Below are 15,681 nucleotides of genomic sequence, written 5' to 3' on the forward strand. Positions count from 1 at the left end.
TGACTGATGGATGAAGTGATAATTTGTTTTTTTGCTCAAAAGTCCTGCATTTTTAAGTCAATGTATTTTTCTATAATTTGAGTGATACATACTGGCTAGTGAGTGGTTGACTAACAAGTAGCTGATTAAGTCAGTACAGACTCAGTTTAAAAGAGTGTCATGTGACTTGGAGCCTTTCCCAGGTTCCAGTGGGAGCATCAGGTTGTCAAGGAGAGACAATAGGAACTCAAACTGGAAAATCTGTTACTTCTATACATAGTCACATAACATCCCATGCCCGTGGTGCTTAAATGTGTTTACAGGCATTTGTTAGCAGTCTCATGAAAACTGTAATGCTTATTTGACAAATATTTGAAGAATAACCAGATTGTTAGGATTATCTGAAATTCTAATTGTGTTCTCCTTGATTTCAGTGGTAGGCTACCATAGTTATTCTTCTCTCCAAGCATCTTACAGGCGCTATGATTATTTCCAGACTGTCAAGGAAATGTACGCATACATCAAAAACAATTCCCTGATTTCTTGTTTTTTTTTTTTTTTTTTTTTTTTTTCTTTTTAAGTGACAGAGTCTCGTTATATTGCTTAGGCTGGTCTCAAATTCCCGAGCTCCAACGATCCTCTCGCCTCAGCCTCCCAAGTAGCTGGAACTACAGGTGTGCACCACCATGCCTGGCTTCTTATTCTTGTGTAGCAGCAATATGAGTTTAAGTTCTGCTGTTCACAAAGAATCAATTACATCATAAATGAACTAGGCTCACAGGGATTATGTATTTATAATTCGATAACAGAAACAATATAGTAGCTATCAAGTATTGATCACTTCCTGCATGTCAGGGACTATGCTAAACTCTTTACTACTTCATTTAATTCTCACAATCCTCATATCATCATACATAATCTGAATTACAATCCCCATTTTACACATGCAGAAACAGTTGGCAGAACCAGGATTCAACTCTTCAACACTTAAACTCTTGAATGCATGATTTTAAAAAACACAATAATGAAAAGTTCCAACATACACAAAGTTTGGGCAAAAAAACATAATGAACTTCAAGTGCTCCTTACCCTGGTTCAGTAAACATCAACCTTTAGCCAATATTATTTCTTTTATGCTCCCTACTGTTTTTTTTTCTTTCTGAAGGAGTTTAAGAAGAGGAGAAAGAAAATTCTTGGCATCATGTTATTTTACCCATAAATACTGCAATTTAATTATCTCTAACAGATGAGGACATCTCAAAAAATCACGATACCATTATCATAATGAAGAAAGTAAAAATAATTCCTTTATAGCACCCAAGACCCCCTCCATGTTCAAATTCTCCCATTATCTCCAACTATCTCCATTAGTTTGCTCAAGTTGGAGGGTCGACATATTGCATTAGGTTGAGTCCTTTAAGTCTTTCTTAATCTCCACAGCTCCTCTATCCCACCTTTTTCCCCCCGTGTTCATTTATTTATTGAAGAAACTGGGTAATTTATTGTGTAGACTCTTCCACACCTGGATTTGACTGATTGAGTCCTCATGGGGAGTTGTTTAACATGTCCTTTTCTCCCTGTATTTTATGTAAACTTTTCTAGTTAAATGCTTTTAATGGTTGTATGGTTAGGGTTAGGTTTACAACCTTTCCACAGATGGAAAGGTTGCACATTCTCTTTGCTCACTATTCTTAGATGCTAAAATATAAATCTTAAATGAAAGAAGAAAGAGACCTGAGGAAAACAAATTTCTCTTAGTAATGCTGGTGGAAAGTAAACAGACCAATATTGCTGTTACCCAGGGTATAGGCAAACTTTGTCCGCAAAGGGCCACATGGCAAATATATTCTGCTTTGCAGGCCATACAGTCTCTTGCATCTACTGAACTCTGCCATTGCAGCACAAAGGCAGCCATAGGCACATGCAATATGTAAAGAAATGGGAGCGGTTGTGTTTCTAAAACTTTATTTATAAAAACAGGCAGTGCGCTGGATTTGGCCTGTGGGCAGTGGTTTGCTGACCCCTGCTCCAGACCTACCAGCTTGCAGCTGCACAGCTTTCGACTGTGTATAACAGGTTACAAAAGAGGAAGTGAAACTATAGGCTGTGCCTTTGGGCACGCTGTGGTCTTTTTTGGTGTGGAGGACTATTTGGTTTGAGTGAAAGCTGGCAGAAGGAAATAAATTTCATGACGACTTTCAGATCTGCTTATGTCTGTTTTCTGAGTACAAGTGTGTATTGCTCTAGTGACCCAAGCGGCACAGTGGATGAATTCTAGAGCTGAGACAGCAGATGGAGGGTCAGGTTGGGAATAAAGGAAACACCGACCAATAGGAGAGCTCACTGAGCCCCAAGTGGGACGTGACACGAAGACCTCATCACTTCCCAGTGTGAGTAAGGGCTGGCATGCCATTTCCCTTTAAAACTATGCCCTCACTGGTTGAGAAAGACTTAATTAACCTTTATCACAAACAGGCTAAGTTTAGTAAGAGGAAGAAGTCTGTTTCTAATTTCACTCTCTTCCATATTCATGCACTCTCTCATACTGTGGATGTGTAGATGACAAAAAGGTGCCTTGAGTTTCTTTTTTTTCTCTTTTTTTTAAATTTAATTTAATTTTATTATTATTATACTTTAAGTTTTAGGGTACATGTGCACAATGTGCAGGTTAGTTACATAGGTATACATGTGCCATGCTGGTGTGCCTTGAGTTTCTAATTCTCACATTTTCTCCACCTCTCTGGCCCTTCCTAGAGAAATACTTTATATTCTACAGCACTTAAACAGCGTTGTAAAGGACCTGAACTTCTGTAATTTCATTTTACCCTCACAGCAATCCACTGAAATAGGATAAATATCATTAACCCTATTGGATAAAGAAAGTGAGGCACAGAACTGGTAATTTGCAGATTAAGAAACAGCTAATCAGAGGCAGAATCAGGATCAGAATTTGGGCTCTAGACCCTCAGGCTGTGGTATTTTCAGGCAGGATTCAGAAGACGTTTGTTTAAAAACCCTAGCTTCTCATCTCTGTCAAATGCAGCTTCCAATAAAATGCAATCACTTTTTACTCCTGAATCATATCGTAGATGCCTCTGTGAAGTAGAAACAAATCAAAATGAAAGTGGTACCTCAGGGCCACTCAACGGACTACTCATATTTTGATTCCTCAGCTAACCAATAAAAATGTATCATGCCCTACTATGAGTAACGCTGTGAGCTGCACTTCCACTGTCTAAGCAAGCAACAGAGTTAAGAAATCCCAACATATCAAAGAAACTCAGTGATGTTAGAGCTCGAAAGCCTGCCTAAGAGAACCCTCATTTACTGCTGGTGAAATGTAAATTTGTACATGCTTGCTAGAATGCAATTTGGCAGTCTGTACAAAGAGCCTTCAAATCCGTCACCATACATACAGGGCAGAGTTTGGCTGCTGTGGTGGAAAGGGCAGGAATGTGGAGAAAGACACAGCCTTGAACCCAGACACACACCCTAAAGACTGAGTCTGAGCTTACATGAAAGACCCCCAACCCCTAGCACTAGCCTAGCACAGAGTAACAAGCAAGAGTAGTCAACTGCTGAGGTAAGGCAGGAGTGTGGGGAGACCTCCTCTGTGCTGCAGGTGTGCAGAGAAAGCTCAGGGTGGAGCACTAACACTAAGCAAAATTCTCTGATGCCCCAGACTCCACCCCAAGCAGAAAGCAATGGCAGCCTTCCACTGAGGAATCTGAAGCCTGAAACAAAATGTAAACTCAGCTCAACTCCTGCCAAAACAGGCTCCACCTCTCACATTTGCAGCACAGAAGAAAAAGTATGAGTATGCTCATTTCCAGGTAAAAATATTATTTAACTCAATCTCTCCCCTCCTACACACAATATCCAGTGTTCTATCTAGTAGGAACAACATGCATGAAAAATAGGGAAGTGCAGCAAAGGCATGGGATTCTTAGCAAAGAGTCAAATGGAAACATTTGATAAGAAAAATTGCAATATCAGAGTAAATTGCTTTGTGGGCTCCTCAATAGACTTCACACAGTTGAGGCAGGATCCATTGAACTTACAGATATGTCACTTTAAGTTATTTAAAATAAAAACATTAAGGAGAAAAAAGAGTGGAAAAGAAAGAACAGAGCCTCCAAGAGCTGTGGGATGATACAAAACAGCTAATGAGAGCTGCATAAGGAGAAGAGATAGAATGGGACAGAAGACATACTTGAAGAGATAATGAATGGTCAAGAATTTTCTTGGAGTGATGAAAGGCAGAAAAATACAAATCCAGAAAGCTCAGGAGATGCCAAGCAAGATAAACAATAAACAAACTCCAACTAGACACAATAGTCAAATTGCTGAAAATGAAATATAAAGGAACAATCTCGATGGTAGCCCAAGGAAAAAAGACACATCTCATACAGAGAACAAAGATAATAGGTAGAGTGGCCTCCTCATCAGAAATTATGCAATCCAGAAAAAAAGAAGTGACATCTTTAAATACTGACTGTCAAATAAGAATTCTACACCAAATGAAAATACCTTCAAGGAGTAATAAAGACTTTTTAAGGTAAACAAAAGCTAAGAGAATTCATCATCAGCAGACCTGCAATACATAAAATGTTCAGTTCTTCAGATAGTAGGAATATGACAGTAAACAGAAACTTAGGCCTGCACCAAGAAATGAAGGGCTCTGGAAATGGCAAAAAATGAAGGTAAGTAAAAGAGATAACGGATGGTCCAAAGTAAAGACAAAAACAACAAATTGTGGGGTTTATAATATATGCAAAAGTAAAACGTATGACAACAACCACACATAGATGAAAAGGAGAAACTGGAACTATACTGTTGTCAGGCTCATACCATATTTGAAGGTATACTGTGATAAGTTAATGACATGGAAAACATGGATGTATTATTAAAGATATCAAACTATGAAAAATAAGATAAATTTTTATACATAAATATATATGCATTCTAAAATATATTGATCCAAATATATATGTATGTGTGAATATATACACATATATACACATATATATACACATATATATACATATATACACATATATACATATATATACATATATACACTATATATACACACACATAAATACATATATATACACACATATATATACATATATATACACATATATATACATATATACACATATATATACATATATACACATATATATACACACACACATATATATACACATATATATATACACACATATATATACACACATATATATACATATACACATATATATACACACACACATATATATATATATATATATATATATTTTTTTTTCTTTTTGAGATAGAGTTTCGCTCTTGCTGCCCAGGCTGGAGTGCAATGGCATGATTTCGGCTCACCACAACCTCTGCCTCCTGGGTTCAAGCAATTCTCCTGCCTCAGCCTCCCGAGTAGCTGGGATTACAGGCATGTGCCACCACACCCAGCTAATTTTGTATTTTTAGTAGAGACGAGGTTTCTCCATGTTGGTCAGGCTGGTCTGGAACTGCCAACCTCAGGTGATCCACCTGCCTCGGCCTCCCAAAGTGCTGGGATTACAGGGGTGAGCCACCACACCCAGTCAATTTTTTTTGAGACGGTCTTGCTGTTGCCCAGGCTGGAGTGCAGTAGCACAATCTCAGTTCACTGCAACCTCCATCTCCCAGGTTCAAGTGATTCTGCCACCTCAGCCTCCTGAGTAGCTGGGATTACAGGTGCTCACCACCATGCCCAAATAATTTTTGTATTTTTAGCAGAGACGAGGTTTCATCACGTTGGCCAGGCTGGTCTTGAACTTCTGACGTCAAGTGATCGCCCACCTTGGCCTCCCAGTGTGCTGGGATTATAGGCATGAGCCACCATGCCTGGTGAGATATTAATCCAAACGTTAACAATTTCTTTCAGTAATGAGATTATAGATGACTTTTTGCTTCTTCATGCTTTTCTAAAAAATTTCTACATGTACATTTGTACAGTGGAAAGATGGTTGTATTTTAATATTGCCTATTTGCAGCCCACTACCACCATCTGTTTCAACTCTCATCCCTTGCTTTCTATACTCTGAATGCCCCAGAGAGGTTTAACTTAGCCATTAACTTCCCTAATATGTAAACTTTGAAGGAACCTGAGAATATCCTGCACCTAAAAATATGATGATTTTTTTTCCCATTAAGGTAGAATATTAAGTATGGCTAGAATTAAAGATCTATATGCACTTTGTGAGAAGAAGCATGAATTAACATTTAGATAAAAACAAATTCAACCTGGAGTTTTGAATTTGACCTGATTTAGTTCAAACAAAAAAGTAAATACGATTGTAATTTTATATATATTAGTTTCTTAATACAATGTTTGTTCTTGTACCAAATAAATTTTTTCCTGTTCATTCAAAATGTTATAGAATACATTAGCATTTGGGAAGTTTCTGAAAGACCTCTGAGTTCATTCAGTCTAATCACCTATATTACAGGTAAGGAAGAGACCAGGGAGGAGGCTAAGTGATTTACATGGAGTCACAGAGCTTGGTGCTTGGCCAAGACCCCAGGTTTCCCAACTCCCAGGTACTACCCCTTCTATTTCACTAAACTCTTTGGGTTTATTTATAAACCACTATTTTCATCACCGGCACAATAGCATCTTATTTAACTTAACTTTCCCATCAAACTACTCAAGGTAATATTTATTCACTCTAAAAAACTTAAGTATACATATGATTAACCAATACTTTTTTTTCTCTAGTATTTACTTCTCCTTAATCCTTTTTGAAAAATGGTGGATAAAGACAAAAAGGGAATCACATGTATACGCAGATGCATTTTATAAACAACAAAGGGAATCGGCTATACATACATTTATATAAAGCATTAATGAGACCTGGATAAATATTCAGAAATTTGACTGAGCAAAATTACAGTACACAGCAAGTTTAATTCTCTCAAATTTCTAGGCCAATAAATTAATTAAGTACTTAAGAAAACAACATGGATCACTGCTATATCCTCTAATGTGTGGATTTTTGTTCTTATGTATAATACCATTTCTAGCCCTTTTTTCTTTTGTAGTTTATTCACTTTCTTCCATGAGGATCTCCTTCCACCTCGATTTTCAGACAAGGTTTTTAGTCTCTAACCTACTCCTGGAAGGCCCCTACAACTGAAGTTAGAGGATAAAATTCCAATTTAGAAAAGATTTTGCCTTCTACTTTTAGGAAAAAGAGAAGCAAATCACCCAGAACAAACTAAGATCACTTATGATTTGTAAAAATTCAATATATTCCTTTACAACTTCATCACACCGCTCTACAGTAATATATGGTATTATATGTTACATTATATCATATGATATACTTTAGAATAACTCTTAAAAGGTCATCTAACTCCAAAAATAAAGATGACTTTTTACAGTACTTCCTAAACTATAAAACTGGCTTAGAAATGTACAGAAAAATTTTAATAATGAATTGGGTAGGGGGAGAAATTCTATCCTGGTTATAACTTTATTTCAGTCCTGTCCTTAGCATATGTCTAGTGGGAAGCACATTTCATCAGGAATGAGAAGACAAGGCCCCACTCTCACTCTTCTACACCCACTTTCATGAGAGCTGATACTGAGAATGTGCCTTATCCTTAATGAACTTATCTCCTCATCTGTGCGGTGGATACAATACCTCCACTGCCTCCATCACAGGGGTGTCAAGAGGAGACATGAGATAATTTGTATTAAAAGAAGGACATTCACAGGTATTTCATATCTTTTGTCTCATTTAATATACACAACAACCCTAGAAAGAAGTACTATCGAATGTTTTTCTTTATTTTACAGATGAGGAAATCTGTGAAAATCTGAAAAATTTGATTTTTTGAAGACCCTAAAAATGAAAATACCTTGCCAAAGGTCACAAAGCTCCCATCAGTTGTCTAACCCCAAGTTCATATTTTTTTCGCTAGACCAGGTCATGCTGTCACCGTACTTACTTTGTAGTGTACTAATATATACTTATGTCTTACTATTTTTGCATTTTTGGAGCACCTAAGAGTGTGTTAAGAGAGAAACATTGCATTGTGGCAGGACAGGACAGTGGTTAAGGGCTAGATTGCTTAGGTTCAAATTCCAGGCCTGCCCCATACTAGCTAATTAACCTTAGGTAAGTTTACTTAAATTCTCTGTATTGCAGATCTCTTATCTGTAAAATTAGGCTAATAATAGTACTTACTCATATCATAGTTGCTATGGTTTGAATATGCCCCCCTAATTTTATATGTTAGAAACTTAATCTCCAAATTCATATGTTGATGGAATTTGAAGGTAGGGTCCTTGGCAGGGATTAATGATTAGATAAGATCATCAGGGTATGGCCTCCACAATGGGATTGGTGGCTTTATAAGAAGAGGAGAAAGACCTGAACTGGACATGCATACTCTTGTTCTCACCATATGATGTCCTCCGCCATCTTGACAAGGCCCTCACCAGATGCAGCCCCTCAACCTTGGACTTCCCAGCCTCCTGAACTATAAGAAATTTTTTTCTTTATAAATTACAAGTCTGTGGTATTCTGTTATAGCAACAAAAAATGGACTAAGACAATAGACTGTCATGAGGATAAATGAGTTAGTAAGTGTAGAGTCTTAAGAATGGTGCTTGGCATTTAGTAAACATTATAACAATTAGATGTTATATTATTTGTATTACTTATTATACAGACATTTAGAAATGTATGAAATGACTGCATCTCACAAGGATATTATGAAATAATTTGGGTAGAAAAGACATGGCGATCTAAAGTAAGCCTTGAAAGATAAGGTACTAAATCAGGTGGATCTTATGAGGGATGCAAAGGGTCTTAGAGGAGCATGAGCTCAGAACAGGCTGTGTCTGTGAGCCATGCTGGGATCAGGAGCAGCTGAGAGGAATGGGAAGCTCAGGCAAAGCTGGAGTTGATTTAAAATGATAGACATATGTGGTATATAACATGATCTACATGATAGAATATGATAGAAATATATGGGTACTATTGATGTCAGGGACCTGGAAAAACAACTGCCTCTGCTGGGAAATGTGGAATTGCTTGCTTATTTCTTCTTTCTCAGTGTTTCTGAAAAACCCAGCCAAATTTATTTCATGAAATAATCATCAAAACAGGGGCATGTCTGCAACTGCCCAAAGTGAAATCAGGGCCATTTTCTATATTACTTGTGATAAATGGGAAACTTTTCATTTAAATACGAAAAGGATGTATGTGAATTACTGATGTCTCCCCCAACCCTCCCATGTCTCATCTCTTCTTTAAAAATGTCTGGGAGAGGTTATCATTAAGGGAAGAGTTAAGTGGATGATATCACTCAAAATCTTGTAGATAATGAAAGATTAACTTATACAGCCTTTTAGTTTGGTTCCTTGACATGCTCCCACTGAAGACAAATTCTAAAATAATAAAAGTTGAGATGGAATCCAGTATCTTCTGCTAATTCTTACCACTTGTCATAATTTTTGTCACAAAGTTACTATTATGATTAAAAAATAAGTCGAAGTGGCATAACAAATTGAAGATCCAGATTTCAGTGTGTGATTTACATTTAAAACACATACATTTTAAGATTTTTATGTTTTCTCATTCTATTTTCTTATACTTTGGCATTATTTCTAGTATATATAGAAACGGAAAAATGATTAGTGAATACGTTCACAGAGAAAGCACAGGAAATACACGGAAGCAAAGATTACTACCATCCTTGTTCACGCTATAAACATATATCTTTTGAAAACTCTTTTAGCCTCTGAGGGAAGAGGTTGCATCTGCTAACTCTCCAGCACATAAAAGGTAATCAATAAATGTTTGATAAATTCTATTTAACAGTCATATAGGTTTTGGGCCGGGCGCGGTGGCTCACGCCTGTAATCCCAGCACTTTGGGAGGCCGAGGCGGGCGGATCATGAGGTCAGGAGATCGAGACCATCCTGGCTAACACGGTGAAACCCCGTCTCTACTAAAAATACAAAAAATTAGCCGGGCGTGGTAGCGGGCACCTGTAGTCCCAGCTACTTGGGAGGTTGAGGCAGGAGAATGGCGTGAACCCGGGAGGCCGAGCTTGCAGTGAGCCGAGATTGCGCCACTGCACTCCAGCCTGGGCGACAGAGCGAGACTCCGTCTAAAAAACAAAAAACAAAAAAAAAACCAGTCATATAGGTTTTGATACAATGTAGAAAATTAGAGAACTGAATTTCTGTTCCCTTTAATTTTCTTAAGAGTATAAAAACATATTTTCTGTAAGTTTTTATTATCTTCCACTGAAAGTTTTCTCTAATGGTTTATTTTTATAATGGCATTATTAAGATTGACATATAATTTTCATCATTTTAAAGTGTACAATTCAGTGATTTTTTTATTCCATTCATAAGGATGTGCAATCAGCAGCAGTATCTAATTCTAGCACATTTTCATCATTTTCAAAAAGGAATCCCATACCATTAGGTGGTCACTTCCCATTTCTCTGTTTCCCAAGCCCTTGTTAACTACTAACCTACTTGTTGTCTCTATGGATTTGCCTATTCTAGATCTTTCACACAAATGAGATTATATAATATGTAATCTTTTGTGACTGGCTTCTTTCACTTAGCATGTTTTCAAGGTTCATCCATACTGTAGTACTTATCAGTACTTTATTTCTTTTCATGAGGATGCCAAGTTTTTAAATTCCTTAAGAATCCCATAAAACATATGCAAACAATGATAACTTCCAATGATAAGGATTTGAGATTTCAAGGATATACTCAGGAAAATTTCTAATATTTGAATAGACTGATAAGAAAACACTCCAGCCTTCCTAGTCTGACACTATGTGCAGGACATTTCTTTTTAAAAATTTGACTTAGATGACCTATTATTAGTGACACAAGTATAAAATAAACTCAGAAACTTCCTTCATACCATAGTGATCATTATTAAGATAACCACTAGGCCGGGCATGGTGGATGACACCTGTAATCCCAGCACTTTGGGAGGCCGAGGTAGATGGATTACTTGAGGCCAGGAGTTCAAGACCAGCCTAGCCAACATGGAGAAACCCTATCTCTACTAAAAATAGAAAAATTAGCCAGGCATGGTGGTGTGTGCCTCTAATCCCAGCTACTTGGGAGGCTGATGCACGAGAATTGCTTGACCCTGGGAAGCGGAGCTTGCAGTGAGCTGAGATTGTGCCACTGCACGCCAGCCTGGGCAACAGAGAGAAACCCTGTATCAAAAAAAAAAAAAAAAAAAAAAAAAAGAAAAAAGAAAAAAAGATGATCACCATTGTAAGTTTTTTTTTTTCCTCTTTCTTCATGAGACTTTAATTAAATGAAATAGGTCTTTTTAGACAAAGTCCTTTTCTCTTTTCCAGTTTTGCTAACTGTTTGCTTATTCTACACCAATTTTTCTCTGTATGCTTTCTGGATAAGGAGATTAAGTCCATACTGGATTTGCTGAGACTGACACCGAAGATACTGATGCCAATGACATTTCCTTAACCTCACTGCTCTCAGAGAGACCAACTAATCCCATTTGATCAGACACCTGATAGTGCTGGCCTTCCCAGGAAGCAGCAGCAAATGCTTGGATGTTTGCTGTTTGTTGTGAAGTCAGGCTCTGAGTGTTGGGATCTGTTCTAAACTCAAGAGCCTTATTTTCTTTTAAGGACAGTACAAGGCTGTTTATTGTTAATCCTGTCAGAGGGCTCCCTTTGAATTAATAGAGGATGGCTCATCAACAATTCAGATAAGGCACAGCCAGGTCTTCCTTCGGTTCTCAAGTGAGTTAGGGGGAAAGCAGACCATATTTAAAGATTCCCACACCTGCTTCTCCCCACACACACCCTCAGCCAATACACACAATCTCAGGAGTTGCCAGAGGAGAAAGACTAGGATGGAAGCTGATCTTGGATCTCCTCCCTTAATTACAAATTCTCTTCCACCTTTGCATGATTAGATGTTACAGATGACTGGGTCTTTGGAGCCAAGTGATTTTCCTATTTATTTATTTGAGATGGAGTCTCGCTCTATTGCCCAAGCTGGAGTGCAGTGGCATGATCTCGGCTCAATGCAAGCTCTGCCTCCCAGGTTCACGCCATTCTCCTGCCTCAGCCTCCCGAGCAGGTGGGACTACAGGTGCCCGCCACCACGCCCAGCTAATTTTTTTGTATTTTTTAGTGGAGACGGGGTTTCACCATGTTAACCAGGATGGTCTCGATCTCCTGACCTTGTGATACACCCACTTTGGCCTCCCAAAGTGCTGGGATTACAGGTGTGAGCCACTGGACCCAGTCAGAGCCCAGTGATTTTCAATATACGCTTTAAAAATTTTTTTAATTTAAATTGTGGTAAAATATACGTAACATAAAACTTCCATTGTAACCATTTTTAAGTGCACAGTTCAGCAGCATTAAGTACACAGCATTCTGCAATCAGTCTCCAAACTCCTTTTATCTTGAAAAGTGAAAAACTTTATAGCCATTAGCTACGCCTATGCCCCTTTCCTCCCAGCCCAGGACAACCACCATCCTACTTTTGTCTCCGAATCTGACTACTATAGATATTATAGATACCTGTGTTAAGTGCAATCATAGTATTTGTCTTTTTGTGACTGGCTTATTTCACTCAGCATTTTATTATTTTTTTCTTTTTTGTGGTGGGAGGAGACAGGATTTCACTCTGCCGCCCAGGCTGGAATGCAGTGGCGCGATCTTGGCTCACTGCAACCTCCGCCTCCCGAGTCCACGTGATTCTCCTGCCTCTTACTTCCAAGTAGCTGGGATTACAGGTGCACATCACCACACCCAGCTAATTTTTGTATATTAGTAGAGATGGCATTTCACCATGTTGGCTAGGCAGGTGTTGAACTCTTGACCTCAGATGATGTGCCTGCCTCAGCCTCCCAAAGTGCTGGGATTACAGGCGTGAGCCACTGCGCCTGGCCAGCATAATGTCTTAAGGTTCATTCATGCTGTAGCATGCATCAAAATTTCCTCCCTTTTTAAGGCTGAGGAATGTTCCAGTGTATGGATGTACCACATTCTGTTTATCCATTCATCTGTTGGACTCGGCTTGCCTCCACCTTTTGGCTACTGTGAATAATGCTGCTATGAATATCCATGTACAAATACCTCTTGAGAACCTGCTTTTCATTATTTTGGGTATATACCCAGAAGTGGAACTGCTGGATCATACGTTAACTGTATTAACTTTCTGAGGAAATGATGAGCTGCTTTCATTGTGGTTGTATGAATTCACATTCCCATCAACAATGTACAAGAGTTCCCATATCTTCACATCCTTGCCAAGACCGGCTATTTTCTGATTTTTTTTGATAGTAGCCATTTTAATGAGTATTCCATATATGCTTTTTAAATATATATTTTTTCAGGCTACATTTCAGAGTTTCCATAATTCCATAAAAAATAAGAAATTTGGGGGCACTAAAGATTGACATAGTAAATGCCTAATTCCTGTAGAAATTAGTTAGAAAAAGAGTTCTGCTACAAAAAAAAGGACACCACTGATTTTGACCAAGAAACTATTTGTTTGACATGAGAACAAACATAATTAAAATGGAAGAAAATTACCAGTTATGGGACCTCTACTTTGTGCAGGCTCTATGAAACATGCCTCATCTCATTTCATCTCCATAACAACACATGAAATAGATGCTATTAATGTCAGTTCACAGAGGAGCAAAGTGAAGCTGGAATGGGTTACAGGTAACATGGCTAGAAAATACCAGAGCTGAGGTTTGACCCTGAGCTGTCTGATTCCCAAAGCTGTGCTCTTTCCTGTGGGTCACAGAAGAGAAAATATATCCTGATAGTGAGTCTCTTCCTAACTTGGGCAAACATTAGCTCCAGCTCTGAATCCAAGTAGCATAGTCTCTATACAGAAAATGTTGCCGAGAAACAATTTCCAGCCAAAAGGAAACAGCATATTCAGTGACAGCAAAAATAGTTAATGTCTAAAAGAGTGGCTAGTTCAACTCTTTCATTTTAAATAAGAACTCATGGTTTTTCTTTATATTTCTTTAAAGATGTCACTATCAAAGCTCAATCAAAAGTAGCCTGCTATCTGTTTTACAGTAAAGAAAGCCCCTCCCAGCTAGAAAGATCTATGAGTAGAGAGATATATATAGCAGTTGAATGGAAAGGGGCATTTAAAACTCAATTGTGGAGGAATCAATTACTTACTCTACTTTGAGGAAAGTTATTTTAACATTTGAAACAATTTAGAATATGTTGATCTAATGATATTAGATTTCCTGAAATGTTTCTAATGAATTTTATAACTTCAATTAAAAAGTCCATCCCCTTTTGTTTTAACATTCTGCCATCAAAAATTCTTAAAAAAGTAATGGGGATTTATATTACAAATTTTCTATACTCCTGTATCACTTCTGACAAACCTGGAACTAAATTAATTTCTGTTTTGAATATTTTTTCTTACCCCCGCAGAAAGTAAATCACTCTTGCAGGCTTCTGAGATATCAGTTAACTTGAAATTCTTAGTTTCTCAGGTATCTTGCCTTCACTTGATCTTTTAACAAATTAGATGCTGGAGTTTCAAACATGTCAAGAAATGAAAACAATGTCTTTGAAGTTTCTAAAGAAAGATGGTTTGGAAATACTAAAGTCAGTCTGTGCCAACAGCTTTATCTGTGGGCAGCACACATGTCCTAAGGAGCTGGAGCTACTCTTCTAGGTGCCATGAAGACCCCAGCTACCATCAGTGGCCGATACCCCATCCTCAACGAGAATGAGGCAATGAGGCTGCCCACTGAGCACCGTGCTGACTCTCCCCACAACCCAGCATGCCCCACCAGCTCCACAGGTCACGCACTGAGGCGTACCAAAATGTGTTAGAAGGTCTGGATTCACACCTGTGTTCTGCCACTTTATTCTTAGTAGGGCCCAAGACAAATGGGGGCCTCACTGACTTATCTATAAAATTGTATATTTTTTGTGAATTTCATATGATGGACTATACCTAAATGTGTTTTGTAAGATGTAAGACATAAAATAAATTCAAGGCTATATTAAGGGGTTATCAACACAAAAATAATTGTTACAAGTAAATGATTTTTAAAGACTTCCATGACTCAACTTTGGGCAATTTATATAGAGAAACATTTTCATAACATAGCATTGGTCAATATTTTCTAATCTTGCCTGATCAGAAGAATCACCTGAGGAACTTGTTAAAAACACAGATTGCAAGTCCCCAGTGCAGAGTTAATGATTCAGAATCTATGGGAAAATGTGGCTGAGACAAACTGGGAAAAACCAGTTGAGAGGTCTTGACTTAGAAACTGTTAGAACATTTGCTTTTATTTATTTTTTTCTTTTTTTGAGATGGAGTCTCGCTCTGTCGCCCAGGCTGGAGTGCAGTGGCACAATCTCGGCTCACTGCAAGCTCTGCCTCCCAGGTTCAAGCAATTCTCCTGCCTCAGCCTCCCCAGTAGCTGGGACTACAGGTGCCTGCCACCACGCCCAGCTAATTTTTTTGTATTTTTAGTAGAGACGGAGTTTCACCATGTTAGCCAGGATGGTCTCGATCTCCTGACCTTGTGATCTGCCCTCCTTGGCCTCCCAAAGTTCTGGGATTACGGGCATGAGCCACCGCACCCGGCCTGCTTTTATATTTTAAACTAAGGGGACCTCACTCCTTTTAGA

General features: G+C 38.2%; 1 protein-coding gene across 4 annotated transcripts in view; it reads right to left on the bottom strand.

Moving 5' to 3' along the window:
• The window catches only part of ANK3 (ankyrin 3), a 707,231-nt gene that overhangs the window by 208,728 nt on the left and 482,822 nt on the right, over positions 1–15,681 (bottom strand). The gene's annotated exons all lie outside the window — the stretch shown is intronic.

Source organism: Homo sapiens, chromosome 10 (genome assembly GCF_000001405.40).
Source record: "Homo sapiens chromosome 10, GRCh38.p14 Primary Assembly".
Taxonomy (NCBI): domain Eukaryota; kingdom Metazoa; phylum Chordata; class Mammalia; order Primates; family Hominidae; genus Homo; species Homo sapiens.